The sequence below is a fragment of the Homo sapiens genome, chromosome 6 (genome assembly GCF_000001405.40).
Source record: "Homo sapiens chromosome 6, GRCh38.p14 Primary Assembly".
NCBI lineage: Eukaryota > Metazoa > Chordata > Mammalia > Primates > Hominidae > Homo > Homo sapiens.
Window position 1 is genome coordinate 158,839,205 of NC_000006.12, and position 20,324 is coordinate 158,859,528.

General features: G+C 45.6%; 1 long non-coding RNA gene and 1 pseudogene across 2 annotated transcripts, besides 9 other annotated features; one reads left to right on the forward strand and one right to left on the reverse strand.

The window, feature by feature from the left end:
- Nucleotides 1-1,912: 1,912 nt before the first annotated feature.
- On the reverse strand, nt 1,913-18,428 carry OSTCP1 (oligosaccharyltransferase complex subunit pseudogene 1; annotated as a pseudogene). Its single transcript, NR_028496.1, has 3 exons — nt 18,375-18,428; nt 18,050-18,167; nt 1,913-2,935 (listed from the first exon to the last, which is right to left on the reverse strand). The product of NR_028496.1 is annotated as an oligosaccharyltransferase complex subunit pseudogene 1 (transcript).
- Nucleotides 13,443-13,968: an enhancer, noted in NCBI's record as "NANOG-H3K27ac-H3K4me1 hESC enhancer chr6:159273679-159274204 (GRCh37/hg19 assembly coordinates)". NCBI's record gives its function as "activates a minimal SCP1, AML or CMV promoter by ChIP-STARR-seq in naive H9 embryonic stem cells {active_cell/tissue: H9 hESC(naive)}" and the evidence as "EXISTENCE:reporter gene assay evidence [ECO:0000049][PMID:30033119]".
- Nucleotides 13,969-14,494: an enhancer, noted in NCBI's record as "OCT4-NANOG-H3K27ac-H3K4me1 hESC enhancer chr6:159274205-159274730 (GRCh37/hg19 assembly coordinates)". NCBI's record gives its function as "activates a minimal SCP1, AML or CMV promoter by ChIP-STARR-seq in naive and primed H9 embryonic stem cells {active_cell/tissue: H9 hESC(naive and primed)}" and the evidence as "EXISTENCE:reporter gene assay evidence [ECO:0000049][PMID:30033119]".
- Nucleotides 13,969-14,508: a biological region, named in NCBI's record as "OCT4-NANOG-H3K27ac-H3K4me1 hESC enhancer GRCh37_chr6:159274205-159274730".
- Nucleotides 14,069-14,118: an enhancer, noted in NCBI's record as "active region_25371". NCBI's record gives its function as "activates an Ori minimal core promoter by ATAC-STARR-seq in GM12878 lymphoblastoid cells {active_cell/tissue: GM12878}" and the evidence as "EXISTENCE:reporter gene assay evidence [ECO:0000049][PMID:35858748]".
- Nucleotides 14,384-18,063, forward strand: LOC124901448 (uncharacterized). The gene is made up of 2 exons (XR_007059836.1): nt 14,384-14,540; nt 17,858-18,063. It is a non-coding gene; the product is annotated as an uncharacterized LOC124901448 (long non-coding RNA).
- Nucleotides 14,399-14,508: an enhancer, noted in NCBI's record as "active region_25372". NCBI's record gives its function as "activates an Ori minimal core promoter by ATAC-STARR-seq in GM12878 lymphoblastoid cells {active_cell/tissue: GM12878}" and the evidence as "EXISTENCE:reporter gene assay evidence [ECO:0000049][PMID:35858748]".
- Nucleotides 14,495-15,018: an enhancer, noted in NCBI's record as "OCT4-NANOG-H3K27ac-H3K4me1 hESC enhancer chr6:159274731-159275254 (GRCh37/hg19 assembly coordinates)". NCBI's record gives its function as "activates a minimal SCP1, AML or CMV promoter by ChIP-STARR-seq in naive H9 embryonic stem cells {active_cell/tissue: H9 hESC(naive)}" and the evidence as "EXISTENCE:reporter gene assay evidence [ECO:0000049][PMID:30033119]".
- Nucleotides 15,282-15,361: an enhancer, noted in NCBI's record as "active region_25373". NCBI's record gives its function as "activates an Ori minimal core promoter by ATAC-STARR-seq in GM12878 lymphoblastoid cells {active_cell/tissue: GM12878}" and the evidence as "EXISTENCE:reporter gene assay evidence [ECO:0000049][PMID:35858748]".
- Nucleotides 15,545-16,069: an enhancer, noted in NCBI's record as "NANOG-H3K27ac-H3K4me1 hESC enhancer chr6:159275781-159276305 (GRCh37/hg19 assembly coordinates)". NCBI's record gives its function as "activates a minimal SCP1, AML or CMV promoter by ChIP-STARR-seq in naive H9 embryonic stem cells {active_cell/tissue: H9 hESC(naive)}" and the evidence as "EXISTENCE:reporter gene assay evidence [ECO:0000049][PMID:30033119]".
- Nucleotides 16,070-16,594: an enhancer, noted in NCBI's record as "H3K27ac-H3K4me1 hESC enhancer chr6:159276306-159276830 (GRCh37/hg19 assembly coordinates)". NCBI's record gives its function as "activates a minimal SCP1, AML or CMV promoter by ChIP-STARR-seq in naive H9 embryonic stem cells {active_cell/tissue: H9 hESC(naive)}" and the evidence as "EXISTENCE:reporter gene assay evidence [ECO:0000049][PMID:30033119]".
- Nucleotides 18,429-20,324: the final 1,896 nt, after the last annotated feature.

Here is a 20,324-nt window from a genome sequence, read left to right on the forward strand (position 1 = left end):
TGGTCAGGCTGGTCTCGAACTCCTGACCTCAAATGATGGGCCCACCTCAGCCTCCCAGAGTACTGGGATTACAGGCATGAACCACTGCGCCCGGCGAGTTTCCTCTTCTTAAGAGCAAACTCTGACCCAGCATATGCCCTCATTAGACTTTAAACAAGACAAATCCTTCCATAGTAGACACTAATCATCATTTCCTTGAGGTTTATAGGTAAACTGTTTTAAGGTGACATACCTAAGTGGATGCAGGTTTTTAGAAAAGAAGATAGTGAAGGAATTTTATCCAGAAATCACACGTTTGAGAGACAGACATCATTATAGCAGATCAACACAGACACACTGCAAAACATGAGTAGTTTGGCCGAGCGTAGTGGCTCATGCCTGTAATCCCAGCACTTTGGGAGGCCGAGGTGGGCGGATCACAAGGTCAGGAGATCGAGACCATCCTGGCCTACATGGTGAAAACCCATCTCTACTAAAATACAAAAAATTAGCTGGGCATGGTGGCGCAAGCCTGTAATCCCAGCTACTCAGGAGGCTGAGGCAGGGGAATTGCTTGAACCCGGGAGGCAGGGGAATTGCTTGAACCCAGGAGGCAGAGGTTGCAGTGAGCTGAGATCGCACGACTGCACTCCAGCCTGGTGACAGAGCAAGACTCCGTCTCAAAAAAATAAGTTTTATTATTAAATTTAAACTTTCCAGCAAAGCCAGTGAGGGTGATGGATAAGATGCACATAGATAACCGGAGAGAGGCACAAAGTGTGATGAGGTCAGAGAATAAATAGCTCACATTCTTTGAGGGCAATAAGGACCTAAAGTCTTTCTTCTGTTGTGGGAGAGATGAGAGCCCAGATAAAGAGAAGGGAATAAACTATGGCAGGCTGGTGATCTGAGGTAGAAAAGCAAGTTTCTTTTTTTTTTTTTTGAGATGGAGTTTTGCCCTTGTTGCCCAGGCTGGAGTGCAAAGCGTGATCTTAGCTCACTGCAACCTCTGCCTCCCGGGTTCAAGCAATTCTGCTGCCTCAGCCTCCTGAGTAGCCAGGACTACAGGTGCCCACCACCATGCCCAGCTAATTTTGTATTTTTGGTAGAGATGGGGTTTCACCATGTTGCCCAGGCTGGTCTCGAACTCCTAGGCTCAAGTGATCCTCCCACCTAGGCCTCCCAAAGTGCTGGGATTACAGGTGTGAGCCACTGTGCCTGGCCAGGGTGAGTTTTTTCACCCAGTAATTTTTGTTCCCTTTTATTGGCCTGAACTTGTCTGAATCCCCTACCCTCCTCCATACATACATACTAGCTACTAGAAGGTATAAAAGAGTAGGAAATAAATGTCTTAAATCTTTCCAGATTAACAAATTTGTATTGAGCTCTGATAACTCTAATGAATCATTGAGCAACACCAAAGTTTGAAAATGGTTGATCTCACTTGAGATTAACTTTGAATGTGTTGCTCCTGGTTTTGCAATTACCTGACAGGTTCTTCCTGTCTGCTGCACAAAATTAATCCATTGAGACCATGGCATTGCAGTAAAGAAAGAGTTTAATTGATTTGAGGCTGGCCATGCCACATGGAAAAAGAGACACTACTCAATCTCCCCAAAAATTCGGAGGCTAGTACAGTTTGGAGGCCAAGTACAGTTTAGTGGGCAGGGAGCTAAGGAAGGGACAATGCTGATTGGCTGGGGAATGCAATCACAGGACAGTGGAGAACGGCCCTCTTGTGCTAAGTCCACTTCAGGGTGGGGACCCCCAGAGGAGTTGCTGGTCTGGCTGGGGCCATCTGGTAGTCAGCAATGCAAAAGCCTGAAAAGACATCTCAAAAGGCTAGTCTTAGGTTCTACAATAGTGATGTCATTTATAGGAGTAACAGGGAAGTTGCAGATCTTGGGACCCCCGGAATAATGGCTGGTAGTCATTTTTTTTTTTAATTAGAAAAATTATTTATTTCTGCTCCTTTCATACATCTTATTGTTCAGGAAACAGTCTTACATACATATCTGAAATAATCTACCGTCACACACTCTAGTTAAAGGCAAAGCACCATAGGTAAACCTGATCAGCTGTCCAGAGTTCTCAGCTTATGGAATCTTGCTTCTTGATTTTACGTTAATTTCTGAAAACAGAAACGCCATCTCCAAAAGGTGTTAAGGGGGTTGTAAAAAATAATCACTTTATTTGATATTATAGCTGTAAATATGGAGCTTTTTTTTTTAAGAAATGAAAAACTAAGAAGAAAATGCCACTCAACATCGTTGGTACAGCAATGGGTCAGCAGGGGAAAAAAAAATACTGTGATAAACTTGTCTCTTTAATACCAAGAAGGAATTCTAGTCCAAGCTTCAATACACTTCCTGTTTTTTCACTCGGTATTTCTTTTACTGCTGCTCTTCATTCTTTTCCACATTTCATATTAGAGGATTGGACAGCCTTTAAACTTCATTGACAGGAGCAAATCCAGTATCCATTGAGTTCTTCTCAAAGGCACTCTAACCCATCAGATAGCCCTTCTCAAAGGCACTCTAACCCATCAGATAGCCCGGCAGTTTCATTCTCATGAATACTCTAGCCATGAAAAAGCTCAATAGGACACAAACGAATCCAATGAATAGAAGAAGAAATCTATTGAGTTTTGGGATATTTGGTGCATTCCATCGGTCCAGGAATATGAAACCTAAACCTCCTATTGTAAACAGGAAGCTGGATGCAAGTCCTTCCATAATACATTGTTCATTTACTCTGTAGGCCAAGAAAGCTACTGGCCTCTGATGCCCGTGTTCATCAGTCATAGAGCCAATGCTTGGAGGTTCAACAATAACATCATAAATTATTCCTCCAGTGACGAGGAAGTAAGACACCACCATCAGAGCATACACAATCATGGCCGACAGCACTTGCAGCCAGGGCGGCTTCTTCAGCTTCAGGTTGGGACATTCGAGCACTAAGAATGGGACACGGTACAAAGTCTCCATGTTAGTGGCAGCAAGGGTGGCTGGTAGTCATTTAACTATGCTTACGTTTTAGCAGAGTTCAGGCACCTCTCATCCTCCTAACCTGGTGGTTAGTTTTACAAGGGTGGTTCGGGTATTATCATTTAAACCATAAACTAAATTTTTCCCAAAGTTAGCTTGACCCAAACCCAGGAATGACCAAAGGCAGTTTGGAGGTTAAAGGCATATTATGGGTGCGATGGCTCATGCCTGTAATCCCAGCACTTTGGGAGGCCGAGGCAGGCAGATCACGAGGTCAGGAGATCGAGACCATCCTGGCTAACACGGTGAAACCCCATCTCTACTAAAAATAAAAAAAAATAAAAAATTAGCCGGGCATGGTGGCGGGTACCTGTAGTCCCAGCTACTGGGGAGGCTGAGGCAGGAGAATGGCGTGAACCCAGGAGGCGGAGCTTGCAGTGAGCTGAGATCATGCCACTGCACCCCAGCCTGGGCGACAGACCGAGACTGTATCTCGAAAAAAAAAAAAAAAAGGCAAGATGGAGTTGGTTAGATCAACAGGTCTCTTTCACTGTCATAATTTTCTTATTGTTTCAATCTTAGCAAAGGCGGTTTCAACCCAATTAAGATAGGAAAGAAAAATTGTCTTGACATTGGATCTTGGACACACCCTCGTCTTAGTGCTTTGGCATTTGCTCCTCCCCCTGTTGGGACACGCTTCCCCCGGGGTATTTAATGGCTCTCCCTCAATTCCTTCAGGGATCTGTTAAATGCGGCTTCCTCAGAAAGCCTTCCTTGTTCACCCCATTTGAAACAGTGCTCTCATCAACTCCAACCCTTTCTTCTGCTCCAACATCTTCATAACACTTAATTCTACCCAACATTAGAGTACATAGCAATTTGTTCATACATTTATGGTCGTTTTGCTTGTTAGAACGTACACTCCACGGACAGCCACTTTACCTGGTACACTGAAGGCACTCAGTAAATATTAGTTGAATGAATGAATGATTGGATGAGTGAATGAATGGCCATTTGGCTTATCACGTAACTCTACATGTGATTGGCTAAAGAGTCTTGCTGAGGTCCAGGAAACAGAGACCTAGGGAGGAAAGGCTCTCCTGTCACCTGCAGGTCACCTAGGTCACCAGGCAGAGGCATAACTGCCTCTACTGCTAGAAGGAATATCTTTTGTTAGCTAATTACATAGCAAGAAACTCCACTTTTGGCTGGGTGCGGTGGCTCATGCCTGTAATCCCAGCACTTTGGGAGGCCAAGGTAAGAGGATCACTTGAGCCCAGGAGTTCAAGACCATCCTGGGCAACACAGTGAGATCCCATCTCTACGAAAAATACAAAAATTAGCCAGGTGTGGTGGTGCGTGCCTGTAGTCTCCACTACTCGGGAGGCTGAGGTGGGAGGATCAGTTGGGCCTGGCAGGTGGAGGCTGCAGTGAGCCAAAATCACACCACTGCACTCCAGCCTGGGTGACAGAGTGGGACCCTGTCTCAAAAAAAAAAAAAAAAAAAAACAAAAAACAAAACTCTACTTTCTGGAAATCACGAATGCAGATACTTTATAATAGCTATAGCTGTAAATATTTTCAAAACCTAATTGGGGCTTATGGATTAAAAAGTATATTAGCTGAAAACATTTTGACTCAACACAATTATACCCAGTGGCATTAGAAGAGAAGCACTTAATGATACATTATGCTTGTGGCTAACAAAGCATTTGCACTAAATGGGTAACATTTTCATTTCCTATTTCAATTTCCACATCGTTTGTAGAGAGCTTCATTACATACACCCCAAACCTAAGTGAAAGATTGAGCCTGTAAATTAGGATTCTGACTTCCCCATTTACTCCAAACTCTTAAATGGCTTATTTTCTATTTCTACAAAAGCCAGAGATCAAGAATTCACGCAAAAGTCAGGGGATTTAGGAAATATTAATTCATCTCCCTTAGGGAGCCCAGTGCCAAAAGACCAACCACAAATTTAAAAAATAATTATACATTGCAGGGAGGCAGAGGTGAACAGAAGACGGAGACAAGGACAAAGTCATGATAAGAAGAGAGGAACTGTTTTTTACAGAAGCTGACAACATAAGGAAACATGTTAGCTCCCTTTTTCTAAAAGGTAAGGAAGGACAACTATGAAATTAATTGTTCTGTTAGTGGACTATCAAGGCAATTAAGTCTTGATCTATTCGGTATATTTCCTCTTCAAATCATAACACTTATTGAAATCTGGAGAGTTGGAGTCATGGTGTAAGAGTCTTGTATTTTCCGTGGGCTGTGTGAAGGTGATAGCATTTTGCACATTCCGCTGGTAGCACGTATCTTGCTGCACTGTAACGTTGTTTACATTTATATGCACCGTGATGGATTATGAACTCCTGCGGGTCTGGGCCTCTGGACTCATAATCCTCTGTACACCAGTACAACCCATTAAACATTTCACAGATCAACTATGAAGCAGATGCACCTTTACCCTACAGTTCCTTAAAACTCATTCCATATTCAATTAATATCCAGAAGGTCTAGAAAATTCTTAGTCCAGCAATGAAATCTGGTAGTTTGTCAAGAGTCAACTGGTGTTCAGTTGTTTTTAAAAAACAGATTAGAGTTACTTAAAAATTTTCTATGGGAAGCTGAGGAGGGAGGACTACTTGAGCCCAGGAATTCAAGGCTGCAGTAAGCTATGATTGCACCACTGCACACCAGCCTGGGTGACAGAGCGAGACCCTGTCTCTAAAAAAAAAAATTCTCTGAAAGTGCAATGAGAGAGTTTGTAGTGAATAGAATGCTAAATAAATATTTGAGAAATATATTCAAAGTGTGATAGGAGAAATTTAATTTTCACAGATAAAATAAGCTTCTCAATGACAAATAACTTTGCAAAAAATTTGTTGCCACAATGGCACTCAAATGTGTATTCACTTTCCTGTATTCACTAATACTTTACTGTTTTTCTTTTCTGTTTTTGTTTTTCATTGTTGTTGTTGTTTGTTTGTTTGTTTGGACAGGGTCTCCATCTGTCGCCCAGGTTGGAATGCAGCAGCACAATCTCAGCTCACTGCAGCCTCGACCTTCTGGGCTCAAGTGATCCTCCCTCCTTAGCCTCCCCAAGTAGCTGGGACTGCAGGTATGCACCATCATGCCTGGCTAACTTTTTTGTATTTTTAGTAGAGACAGGGTCTTACTCTACTTACTCTACTCCATGTTGCCCAAGCTGGTTTTGAACGCTCAAGTGATCCACCCGCCTCAGCCTCCCATAGTCTGGGACTACAGGTGTGAGCCAGTACACCTGGCCCTGTTTTTCAAATACTATAACTGCTTCCCCAGTTGGAAATTCTAAGGATCAGTATTGACCCATTCACTCGTTTACTCACTGATTCACTTAACCAATATTTATCGAGTTCTCACCATGTGTCTAAGCACTAAGGATATATATATATATATATATATATATATATAATTTTTTTTTTTTTGAGACGGAGTCTCACTCTGTCGCCAGGCTGGAGTGCAGTGCCGTGATCTCTGATCACTGCAACCTCTGCCTCCCGGGTTCAAGCAATTCTCCTGCCTCAGCCTCCCGAGTAGCTGGGACTACAGGTGAGCACCACCACGCCCAGCTAATTTATGTACTTTTAGTAGAGACGGGGTTTCACCATGTTGGCTAGAATGGTCTCAATCTCTTGACCTCATGGTCCGCCCGCCTCGGTCTCCCATAGTGCTGGGATTACAGGCGTGTAAGGATATTTTAGTGTATGAATATAGACATGCCATTGTGGAGCTTAGAGTTATCAAACCAATACACAAATAGTCGAAACATTTCAGCTGTGATAAGAAGATGTATTTGCTGCACCTGGTGCTAAAGTTATTATAAGGGAGATTTGCTTTAAGCCGGGTCCTCAAGGGAAGCTCCCTAGAAGAAATGATGAATAAACTAAGATCTGGAGGGTTGTAGATGAACCAGGTCAACAGAGCGGGGAAGAGCGATGCAGGCACAAGAGAAGCCAAAGTTTCTGGTGTGGGAAGCAAAGCCAGTGGGGCAGAGGCTGGAGACCGTGCCAGGGCATAGATAGGTGTTACGGAATTTGACTTATCCTTGGAAAATGGGAAGTCACTGAAGTGCTTTAAGCCAGAGAGGGGATGGGTTGAGCTATGGTAAGATCTGATTTGCCTTGCCCGAGGCGCTCTGATCCTGTGCAGAGGAAATATTAGGGGGCAGTTGAATTGGATTAGGAGTTAGGTGACTTGGACAGGAGGCTTGAGGGAGGCCTAACGTGCCCCAATCCCGCAAACAGTGGCTCCTTCTTAGCAAAAGTCAGTGTTTTGCTGCAAAATTAAAATAAAAGCTGAAAATGTACTTCCCAACTTATAAGGAGATGGAATGCCAGCCACATTGAACCCAAATGATTTTTTAAATGTAATTGTTCCGCCACAAAGCCTACAAGCTTCTTAAAGGCAGGACATGTATATTATTATTATTGATTGTGTCTTCAGGCCAAACATACCAGATAAAGTGATTAAATGGTTGTCAAATACATGAAGAAAGCATGGTGTGTTTGTTTGCTAGGGCCACCGTGACAAAGTACCACAGACCAGGTGGCTGAAACAATAGAAATGTATTTTCTCATCTTCTAGCGGGTAGAAGCCTGGGATCTGCTGGGTGCAGTGGCTCAGACCTATAATCCCAGCACTTTGGGAGGCCAAGGAGGGAGGATCACTTGAGGCCAGGAGTTTGAGACCAGCTGGGAAAACACAGCAAGACCCTGTCTCTGTTTTTTAAAAAGAAGAAGTCTGGGATCGAGGTGTGGACAGGGCTGGCTCCTCTTGCGGTCTGAGGGAAGGATCTGTCCCAGGCCTCTCTGCCCGGTAAATTGCTGCTTTTTCGTTGTCTTCTCATCCTCTTCCTCTATGTATGCTTCTGGGCCCAAATTTCCCCTTTTATGACACCGGCCGTTTTGGATTAGAGCCCACTCTACTGACCTCATTTTAAGCTTCACTGCCTCTGTATAGACCCTATCCCAATCCAAATAAGGTCACAGTCTGAAGTATCGGGTGTTAGGGTTTCGACATAGGAATTTGAGGAGATAAAATTTAGCACACACACCCATGGGCTGTGCATTTTGGTAGCTGGGCAGTGTTAGAAGAAGCCCTTTAATGTGGCAGCCTGTGCTAGTAGCCAGTGGGCCCCGTCGTGGGCCAGGCATGAGCAGAGTTGGTGGTGGGTAGGGCAGGGCAGAGAGCATGCCTTTACCTGGTCTCTTCAAAGCCCATCTCATTTTCTTTCTTTCCTTTTTTTTTTCAGATGGAGTTTCGCTCTGTTGCCCAGGCTGGAGTGCAATGGTACGATCTCGGCTCACTGCAACCTCTGCTTCTCAGGTTCAAGCAGTTCTCCTGCCTCAGCCTCCTGAGTAGCTGGGATTACAGGCATGCACCACCACACCTGGCTAATTTTGTATTTTTAGTAGAGACAGGGTTTCGCCATGTTGGCCAGGCTGGTCTTGAACTCCTGACCTCAGGTGATCCGCCGGCCTCAGCCTCCCAAAATGCTGGGATTACAGGCGTGAGCCACTGCGCCTGGCCCCATCTCATTTTCTTGAAAAGGCCCAAGTAAAGTAGATAGATTTTCCAAACTGTTAGAGGTTGAATTGTGTTTCCCACCGAAAAAAAAAAAAATCCTCTGTTGAAATCCTAACTTCCCCAGTACCTAGGAATGTGACTGTATGTGGAAATAGAGTCTTTAAACAGGTAATTAAATTAAAATTAGGTCATTAGTTGTGCTGTAATCCAATATGGCTCATGTGTTTACAAGAGGAAATCTGGACAGACAGGTGCAGGCATGTGAAGACACAGGCAGAAGACGGTCATCTGCAAGCCGAGGTGAGAGACCTCAAAAGAAACCAACCTTGCCGACACTTTAATCTCAGACTTCTATTTGACAGGATGATGAGAACATAGATTTCTGTTGTTTCAGCCACCCAGTCTGTGGAATTGTGTTATGGCAGCCTGAGTAAACTAACACACAATCCAACCTGGCTAGCACTCCTACTCTCAAAGCCCAGGTTTCACTCAATAATTCCAAACCATGGTTCACTTCTTTTTTTAAAATTAGTATTATTATTTTTTGAGATGGAGTCTCACTCTGTCGCCCAGGCTGGAGTGCAGGGGAGCAATCTCAGCTCACTGCAACCTCTGCCGCCCAGGTCCAAGCAATTCTCCTGCCTCAGCCTCCCGAGTAGTTGGGATTACAGGCGCCAGCCACCACGCCCAGCTAATTTTTGTAGTTTTTAGTAGAGATGGGATTTCACCATCTTGGCTAGGCTGGTCTTGAACTCCTGACCTCGTGATCTGCCCGCCTTGGCCTCCCAAAGTGCTGTGATTACAGGTGTGAGCCACCGCGCTCGGCCATTTCACTTCTTATTAATCACGACCAGTGTTTCCTGAGCACTTACCACATGTCAGACATGGTACTAAGAATGTTATCAGTGTTATTTACTTAACCTGTACAAATAGAGATAGGGACTATTATGAACTTAATTTTTATAGAAAAGAAACCTGAGAGTAAGAGACATGAAGAAACTTGCCTGAGGTCATCCAGAAGGAAGAATAAGGAGTCAAGGTGTCTCCAAGGCAATGCCCTTCCACCCCGAGCACCTCTGTGCTGGCCTGAGAACATGTTCCAGGAGGCAGAGCCTCACTTCATGGTGGGGTCTGGGGCACAGCCAACACATCTGGGGGCTTAGATTATGAAGAAGTGAAGGTATCCCTTAAAGCAACTTTCCTAGTTTCTTGGATTGGCTTATGACTCTAGTTTCTTCTTAATTCTTGCAGAAATCATAACCCCTCTATTAACAGTATTAAGACTATGCCATGCTGGCCAGGCACGGTGGCTCACACCTGTAATCCTAGCACTTTGGGAGGCCGAGGCAGGCAGATCATGAGGTCAGGAGATCGAGACCATCCTGGCTAACACGGTGAAAGCCCGTCTCTACTAAACATACAAAAAAAAAATTAGCTGGGCGTGGTGGCGGGCGCCTGTAGTCCCAGCTACTCGGGAGGCTGAGGCAGGAGAATGGCATGAACCTAGGAGGCGGAGCTTGCAGTGAGCCGAGATCGCGCCACTGCACTCCAGCCTGGGCAACAGAGCAAGACTCCATCTCAAAAACAAAAACAAACAACAACAACAACAAACTGATCTTAAGTAGAGGAAAAGAAGATTGAAGATTGGAAGAAAATGACAGATCATCAAATCACAAAGAAATGGGGGAATGTGGAATCTGTCCTTGATGACTGCCACTGAATATTCACACTAACATCACAGTGAGGTCCCTGTTCATTTGTGCAGGAGAACATGTACAAACATTTAGGCAGAACATACGCAGAGTAGAGTATACAGACCTCTCCCTCCTGTTCAGGCTTTTAGCTGGCATTAGGGGTTTGAGACCTTGGAATGTTGTCAAAGAAAAACACACTTTAAAAGCCCGTTTCCAAAAGGGTGACAAACGGGACTGGATGATGTGTTTAACCTCATGAAATATTGAACTCTTGGATGTAAATCTGCCCATATCACTAGAGATGAAAGAGTTATTCCTGTTTTTATGTCTAATTGTGGAACTGGTGAAATTTGCATTTCCCTAGAATCACTGCCCCTGTTGATAGTTGAAACACACAGTTTTGAAGAACAGCAAATCATACTCTAAGAGGCAGTAGTCCCCTATGTCCTGTCGTTTTCCCTGTTTCTGCCTTCTATAGACACCCTTGCCACCACTCAGAAATGTTTGAGACTTTGTGGAGAAAGTAGACTGGTGAGAATTTCCTCGTACTTGGAAGGGTTAAGCACTGAGTCGATCTACAGCAAGTGGCACACCCAGTTTGAGGTCCACGAGGGTGAAGTAATTTATCTGTGAGTCATATCACTGAATACACTGTTCTATAGAATGTTGGTTAGCAACTCACTTCCAAACATCGTGGCCAATGGTTCTGTTAGACATAACATTTGAAAGTGAGATGAGTTGCTCATGTGGGCTTAGCAATAGGCAATGAAACGAATCTGGCATTGAAACAGACGTGGGTTTTTACAATGGGTTTAGACTGAAAAGAAGTGCTGTGTTGCATGAGTCCATCTTCACACTAAGCATGAAAGCCAGAGAAGGACCATCCGGTGCTCCTGGTGGAGACAGTGTCTCGGGACACTGCCTGTGAGGTTTTCAGGATAGGAAAAAGAAGAGAAAAGGAAACCCAGCCCCTTGGTTTTCTTGTTTTATAATGTGGCCATTTCAGAGGCTGTGACTATAGGATTAAATGCTTAGCAATTGGCAGGACTTTATATTGACTGGTGTTTAAAACTTAAAATTCAGTTATTCCAACCACAGATACTATTAAAAGAACTCTGGAGTCAAGAGGAATGAGCAGGCAAGAGGGTGAGGCTGTGTCTATGGCTGGAGGAAAGGTGTGATGAGTTGCTGTTTTGTTGCTAGGCAATAGGTTTTATGTGACAACAATTCCTTTCCTTTAAAGAACTAGAGTGCTCTTTTTGTTTAATGAAAGCATTAGATTTTCTTGGTACAAGAGGTACCCATTGAGTTTACGTGAATATGTGGTATTATAGTAAACAGTGCTTATGAAAGGGAATGCTATTCTATTTTTGAATTCTTTTGTTTTACATTGCCACCTCTAGAAATCATTTGCCTGAGGAGATGTGGTTTTTTCCTTTTCTCAAATGATTTCTGTTGTTTGGCTTGTCTGACTGTAAACCTCTAAATTACCCCCAGCTGTTATGAATGTGCTTCTGAATTTCTCAACAGATAGCATAGCATGTTTGTGTTTGGGGATGTTAGAAGATTTGCTTTTATAATTCCAAACTAGTTAACAAATCCTGATGTAAATATGTTATGGTATCTTCTATATTTCTTCTTTTATTGATCCTATTATAATGTAAAATGTTGTAGACTGCTTATGGTCACATTAAGACAGGGCCATATATCTCTTGCATCCTTATAGCCTTAATACCAATCTAACATAAAACTTGGCATATAGTTTATATCAATAAATGAACGGTTGTTGAATAAGTGAATGAATGGATGCACAAATCATTGATATACTGTTGCATTTTCCAGTGACGTGGATTTATTTATTTATTTATTTATTTATTATTTTGTTTTTGAGATGGAGTCTCGCTCAGTCTCCCAGGCTGGAGGGTAGTAGTACGATCTCAGCTTACAGCAACCTCTGCCTCCCCTGCCTCTCCGGTTCAAGCGATTCTCCTGCCTCAGCCTCCTGAGTAGCTGGTATTACAGGCATCTGCCACCATGCCCTGCTAATTTTTGTATTTTTAGTAGAAGATGAGGTTTCACCATGTTGGCCAGGCTGATGTAAAACTCCTGACCTCAAGTGATTCACCTGCCTCGGCCTCCCCAAGTGCTGGGATTACAGGCGTGAGCCACTGCGCCTGGCCTGATAATATTCTTCTATATTTTAGAGACCATGGAGTTAATTCTAAAAATGGAAAATACTTAGGCCTGAATACCAGCCCATAGGTTTACTATTTTTCCCTAAGGTAATGTCTTCTCCTTAAGCAGCATTAGAGCTTTGCTAACATGCCATCTAAAAATGTACCCCCCAAGCTGGGCTCAGTGGCTCACGCCTGTAATCCCAGCACTTTGGGAGGCCGAGGCAGGCAGATCACCTGAGGTTGGGAGTTTGAAACCAGCCTGACCAACATGGAGAAACCCCGTCTCTACTAAAAATACAAAATTAGCTGGGCATGGTGGCGCATGCCTGTAATTCCAGCTACTCGGGAGGCTGAGGCAGGAGAATTGTTTGAACCCGGGAGGCAGAGGTTGTGGTGAGCTGAGATCGCGCCATTGCACTCCAGCCTGGGCAACAAGAGCAAAACTCCGTCTCAAACAAACAAACAAACAAACAAACAAAAAAATGTATCCCCCCAAGAACAGGAAGAAGTGTCATGGAGGTCTTTTATTTTCAACAATATAGAAACATTTTTGGATGAACTTTGTCTCTCAGGTTTTGGAGAATTAAAATGCCTCCCTTATCCCATCCCTGCCACACTCTAGGACATTGATTCATGTTCCCAAAGAATAATGGTTAGCTTACTGTATGCCAGCTACTATTCTTAGCTCCTTACATGAACTAATCCTTTTAATCCTCACAACTACACTATGAAGCGGATGCTACTATTGTCCACTTTATGGGGGAAGAAACTGAGGCACAGAGAGGTTAGCTTGCCTCGGGACTCTGTCTCTGCTGAGATTGGAAGCAGAAGACTAGTTCCAGAATTCACACTCCTAACCCTACTACAACACCTGCTCTCAAACAGAGAAGGGAAAGGAAGTCCTGGCGTTTGCACTCTCCTTGATCTTGTGCTGGTCTGGTCTGGACATGGACCAAGGCTTGGGGGCCTTGCACACGTAAGTGAGTGCAGATGCCCGGCCCAGCCCCAGGGCTCCCTTGTCCTTGAGCTGGGGCCACGCTGAGGCTGAGGCTGGCCTCCATGGCTTGACTTGAGGCCACCTCCAGATCCACACCCTGAAAGCTTGGGACTGGCCTTCTCAGAGAATGGGGCAAAACACTCTGACGCCAACTACAACCATCACAAGGAGGTACATTCTCTGTAAGGGCAAGCCTGGGGCTGCACCCAAGTAGACTAGCAGACACTCATTACAGAGAGAATGTTCTGGCACTCTGGCCCTGCCAAAGGCTACCAGAACACAGAAGGCCCTTTCTTCCAAGGGGCCGAAGGAGGAGCAGGCACACACCATATGCCTCACTCACCACACGAAACCACACACCACATAGCACACACGCGTGCACCCTCATACCACACTGACCCTTCACCACACACACACCCATACACCTTCATGTCACACATACCACACACACAGATATACCACATGCACCCCATACACCCCACCACACACATACAAACACCACACCATATACACACACACACAGTACAACATACACACTCACACACCATATGCCACACACATATACTTTACACATATACATACCTCCAAACACACACCATGCACACACACGGTACACCATACACACACCACACACTATGCACACACCATGTACCACACACATACCCCTCCAACATCACATGAACACTACGCACCCTCCCCCATACCACACACATACACGCACACGTACCATGCACGCACACACACCACAATGTGCTGTTACTTAACAGGTTTGCCTTCCCACAACTCTATCAGCAAACCCTTCTGGAGGCGCAGCCCACACCTGCATTCCAAAGAACGCAAATCCCTTCCCTGCCCGATGAAAGGCCCCTCCCACAGTGAGTCACAGAAACTGCAGCCGAGCAGGCAGTGGTGGGCCCCACCCTTCTCACAGGAAGTGAGAAAGAGTAAATATGTAGTTTTTCTTTGAGGGCCAATGCACATGTTAAATGGGTGATTAAGAAGACAGAGAGCTGCTTAAAAGGTCATGGGAGAAGTACAATGTCTGGGGACTTGGCAGTAGCCTGGCAGAGACCGCAGGAATCCTATAGAGTCTTTTATGGACAGGGCTCTGAAATTCCAGAGCCTGCAGGAGGTACCTTCCCCTTTGACTCGGCGGGGCTGTACCACTAAGAATGCACTGAGCATTGGGTGCACTTGGGATACCTGAGCTGTGGGGCCAGAGAGGCAGCCCTAGGGGAGAATTCCGGAGTTGGGGCTGGGTTCTTTCAGCATAAAAAATCAAAGTGTCGCTTCTTTAATGAACCTCCCGGCAAGGTCTTCCCTGAAGACCTTGAACAAGTGTTCTTAAACAAGTGTTCCTTTATGCAATTAAAGGCCAGGGAAGCTGGGGTCTGAGAGGCCATGGAGCCATTGGGATAATAGTGACAGTTCGGCTACCATTCAACTGGGCTTCTGATGAATCATGCTGGGGGCAAGGACTCCAAATCACCAGCTCTACTCTATACTCGAATCAGTAGGCAGTTCAGACAGTCTTGGGGGATTTGGGCAAACGAACGCTCCACTTAGAATCTCTCCAGAAAGACAAAGGGGGTGCCTAACAAACAATTCAAGGACTGTGGGAAACCAATGATCATCAAGGGCTCAGTTGTACAGTGTAAACCAAAAAGTATCTGAGACAGGTCTCAATCAACTGAGAAGTTTATTTTGCCAAGGTTAAGGACAGGCCAGGGAGGAAGAAACACGGAATCACAGAAACAGTCTATGGTCTGTGTCGTTCTTCCAAGATGATGTTGAGGGCCTCGATGTTTAAAAGGGAAAAGTGGGCTGGAGAGGAAAGAGGAAGGGCATGGGAATCTACTTGTTGCAAGGGAAAAGGAGCAGGAAGAGGAACAATCAGTTACGTTTCCTCTAGCAGTCTGTAAATTGGTGCTTTACATAAGATGAGCATAGAGTTTAGCTGCCTGTGGTGGGGATATCTAGCCTTTTATCTGTAGCTATCTGCTTAGGCACAAACAGAAAGGCAGCTTCTTGCATGACTCAGCTTCTAGTTTAATTTTTTCCTGTTGCCAAGAAAAAACTGGGGTCCTGAGAGTTTTTCTTTTCCTTTCACAACAGGAAGAAACAAACTACAGAGCCCCTAGGTATACTGGGGCCACCTGGGGTCTTGTTAAAAATGTGCATTTGGGGGAGGGGCGGAGAGTCTGCGTTCCCCCCATGCAGTGCCCAGGCTGCTGCTCTGTAGGCCACACTTTGAATACTGAGAGTACCAGAGAGGACTTGGTGGTAGGGGGTGGTGGGTGGATTCTGGTACAGTTGGAGGGAGGAGGCTTCCTGGGGTGAGGGCACTGAGATGGGTCCTGGTGGTAAGATTGTGTGGGGAGGAGAATAAAGGTACCCCAGATCAACCTTGTGGGGCAACAAGTGACCTGACAAACTCCCATCATGTATGGCCACTGTCCCCCATTCAAGGCCAGGGACCGTTGGAGGAGTTGGAAAGTTAAGAGCTTGAAAACTGGATTCTGCCTCACTGGGAGGTTCACTGACATTTAGTCTTCTCTGAAAGATGGGCATAGTTATACCAATCCTACAGGAGTAGTGTGAAGATTAAATGAGATGACATATAAAGTGCTTAGGGCCTGGGGCAGCATAAGTGGTAGAATATTTGTTCATATTATTATTGTTATTATTATTAGCTGAAGCAATTTTTTTTTTTTTGAGATGGAGTTTTGCTCTTCTTGCCCAAGCTGGAGTGCAGTGGCACGATCTTGGCTCACTGCAACCTCTGCCTCCCAGGTTCAAGCAATTCTCCTGTCTCAGCCTCCCAAGTAGCTGGGATTACAGGTATGCGCCACCATGCCTGGCTAATTTTTTGTATTTAGTAGAGACGGGGTTTCACCACGTTAGGCAGGTCTGGAACTCCTGACCTCAGGTGATCCACCTGCTTCAGCCTCCCAAAGTGCTGGGATTACAGGCCTGCACCACCGCGCCCGGCCCTCCTGTTGACTTCTTTTTTTTCTTTTTTTGAGACGGCGTCTCACTCTGTTGCCCAGACTGGAGTGCAGTGGCACGATCTCAGCTCACTGCAACCTCTGCCTTCTGGGCTAAAGCAATTCTCCTGCCTCAACCTCCCGAACAGCTGGTATTACAGGCATGTGCCACCACGCCCAGCTAATTTTTTTTATTTTTAGTAGAGACGGGGTTTCACCATGTTGGCCAGGCTGCTCTTGAACTCCTGATCTCAGGTGATCCACCCGCCTCGGCCTCCCAGAGTGCTGGGATTACAGGCCTGAACCACCATGCCCGGCCTTCCTGTTTACTTCTGAGCCCTGGGCCAACATACTTCAGAACAGAAGGCCCCTGGTGGCTGGAGGGGCTCTCTTCTCCCTCTTCATGGCCCTGAAGGGGCGGGGCAGTGGTGACACTGAGAGGGACAGGAGAATTGGACCTGCCTTGACAAGACGGCAGCAAGGCCTCATTCCCTGGGGCCTAGAAGAAGGTGACTGCGCTGGGCATACACAGGGGAGAGGATTCAGAGTATTCAAGACGAATATATTGGGTAGAAAAAGTTATTTAAAATATTTGAAACAAGTCTCATTTTTACACTGAAATGTCACAGTCCTTCAGGCTCTCTGTTTTAGCCAAAGGACATCAGGACATGGTCTTACCCGAGATATAGCCAGATTCAGTATAGGTACTTCTTAGTGTTAGGTGTTCTAATGCCTGTGTCCTGCCCCAGCCCTCCATGAGAGCCAAGAGCTGTGCTGAATAGAATTGCTGAGCCCTTGCAGAAGAGGGTGTCATATTTTCCAAATATTCCCTTTGCAAGATAAACTAGCCAGAAGGTAGGAGGTGTCAGGCAGCGCCGAGCACCGGCTGGGCCAGACCTCTGGAAGAGCAACTGGGAATGTTGATTACAGGGCAAGAATCTAAACAGCAGTGATTTATTTTCCAAAGTTGCTGGCACTTTTTAATCCCTTTTTCTCTCTTCCTCTTCCCTTTAACAGGGCAGAGCAAACAATCTTCAGGCCAATGCAATGCTTTGTGGGTTTTTTGCATTGATTTGTACATGAAACCATGTTTTTTTTTTTTTTTTGAGATGGAGTCTTGCTCTGTCGCCCAAGCTGGAGTGCAGTGGCACGATTTCAGCTCACTGCAACATCCACCTCCCGGGTTCAAGCGATTCTCTTGCCTCAGCCTCCTGAGTAGTTGGGATTACAGGTATCCACCACCATGTCTGGCTAATTCTTGTATTTTTAATAGAGATGAGATTTCACCATGTTGGCCAGGCTGGTCTCGAACTCCTGGCCTCAGGTGATCCTCCTGTCTTGGCCTCCCAAAGTGTTCGGATTACAGATGTAAGCCTCTGCTCCTGGCCTGAAACCATGAATTTTTTATGTGGCCATTATTATTTTATAAATGCTGCTTTCTTTCTCTATCTGTTCTTTTCAGTACTTAGCCAGCGTGCAGAGAAGCTTCCCAGTTAGGAGGTGAAGAAACACAAGGCTGCACTGGATGCGGAGGCTCCCACCTGGAATCCCAGCACTTTGGGAGGCCAAGGCTGGAGGATTGCTTGAGCCCAGGAGTTCAAAACCAGCCTGGGCAACATAGTGAGAACCTGTCTCTACAAAAAATAAAAATTACCTGGGTGTGATGGTGCACGCCTGTAGTCTCAGCTACCTGAAGGACAGAGGTGGGAGAATGGCTTGAGACCAGGAGATTGAGGCTGCAGTGAGTAGAGATCACGCTACTGCATTCCAGCCTGGGAGACAGAGCAAGACCTTGTCACAAAACAAAACAAAACAAAACAAAACAAAACAAAACAAAACAAAAAAAACACAAGGCCACCCTTCCTCACGATGCCGCAGGTCCCCTCCCCTTCTCTCAGCATGGCTGGAGAGCCCCTCAACTGTGGCCTGCTGTCCTTGATCCAGTGCCCCACGCTGCCCCACCCTTCTGGGGAGCCCACCTCAAAGAGAACTCCCTGGAGGCTCCTACAGTGGCCTCCGGCTGACCAAAGTGTGCTGTGGGCAGAAGCCCCTGCCTCCCTCACCATGTACTTCCTCATCCCAGATCTCAGTCCCTCAAGGGCCAGGCAGGTGTCATCCAAGACGACAAGCCATCTCAGTCTCATGTACTGTGGGGAGAAGACCTCCCAGAGCCCTCTACCCTCTCCTTGAGTCATACATGCTTTTTTTTTTTTTTTTTTTTTTGAGACGGAGTCTCATTTGTTTGCCCAGGCTGTAGTGAAGTGGCAGGATCTCAGCTCACTGCAACCTCCACCCTCTGGATTCATGTGATTTTCCTGCCTCAGCCTCTTGAGTAGCTGGGACTACAGGAATCCGCCACCATGCCCGGCTATTTTTTTTTTTTTTTTTGTATTTTTAGTAGAGACAGGGTTTTGCCATGGTGGCCAGGCTGGTCTCGAACTCCTGACCTCAGGTGATCCACCCGCCTTGTCCTCCCAAAGTGCTAGAATTACAGGTGTGGGCCACTGCGCCTGGCCCATACATGCATTTTAACAGCTACATTCATGGATGCATTTAGCAAGCAACCTGGCTTCACATGCAAGGCACAGTGCTAGGAATTAGGTCTACAGGGATGAGCAAGATGTGGACCCCGCCTCTGCTGTCTCCAGGCCACTAGGGACGATGGTCGGGGAATAGACCACTGAGATTGAAGTGATGAAAGTCTCAAGGAAAGAACAGGGAGGCAGAGGTTGCAGTGAGCCAAGATTGCGCCACTGCACTCCAGCCTGGGCGACAGAGCGAGACTCTGTCTCAAAACAAAACAAACAAACAAAAAAAGAACTCTGGCATTCCACTGAACACGTTCTCCTTCAAAACTGGGTCCAATCATTCTGCTGACACCAAGAGAGTGCCTAAAGGGACAGCCCAACTCAGGCCTTAGATTTATCTTGAGAGAAAAGTCCTAGAAGCATTTTGATTCTCATAGATGAAAGGACACCAGCACGGAGGACATGATTGGTCTTCTCGCCTCTCAAGCTGCGGTGGTGCTGTCCGATTTGTGCATAGCCAGAGGAAGATTTCCTGAGAAGCCAGTCAAGCATGAGCTCCAGGGTCCTTGCCTGTGTGCCCCTCTTCCAAGGTCCTGTACCGATTTTTTAAAAATTCATAATTGTATAATACTTTTCTTAAATGGTGTGGGGCACAAAACATAGACCTGCATCGTAAGACCTGGCTCTACCCCTGGAATATGTTTCTGATCTGAAGATGACAACCTGGAGCAGTAAGCCCTTCAGTCCTTGGCAACAATTAATCATGTTTTGATTGAACATGGCTCCTAATTGTAAGGAGGCTTCAATGTTAAGAAGTGGTTTGTCTTCACTGTACTGTAGATTCTGACTTCAATACACATGTGACCTCAAAAAGTAAATTAATGCCGCCAGATCCAATTCTTCACATCCTTTCTGTCAGTAGCGCAGGTTCAAGAAGGCAGCTGGACACACTGCCTGGCACAAAGTGGGTGCCTGCCTCCAGGTTAGTGAATGCATGCTAGCAATTGTGGCAAAAACTTGTTAGCCTCAGTGTGTTTGAAGTCCTTGGTTTAAAAAAATAATAAAAAATATAGAAAAGTTGCAAGAATAATTCAAAGAACTTTTTAGTTCTTGAATAATTTGAAAGTAAGGGCTTGGTGTGGTGGCTCACACCTGTAATCCCAGCAATTTGGGAGGCCAAGGTGAGCAGATCACCTGAGGTCAGGAGTTTGAGATCTGCCTGGCCAACATGGAGAAACCCTATCTCTACTAAAAATATAAAAATGAGCCAGGTGTGGTGGCGCATATCTGTAGTCTCAGCTACTCAGGAGGCTGAGGCAGGAGAATCACTTGAACCCAGGAGGCGGAGGTTGCAGTGAGCTGAAATCATGCTATTGCACTCCAGCCTGGGCGACAGAGTGA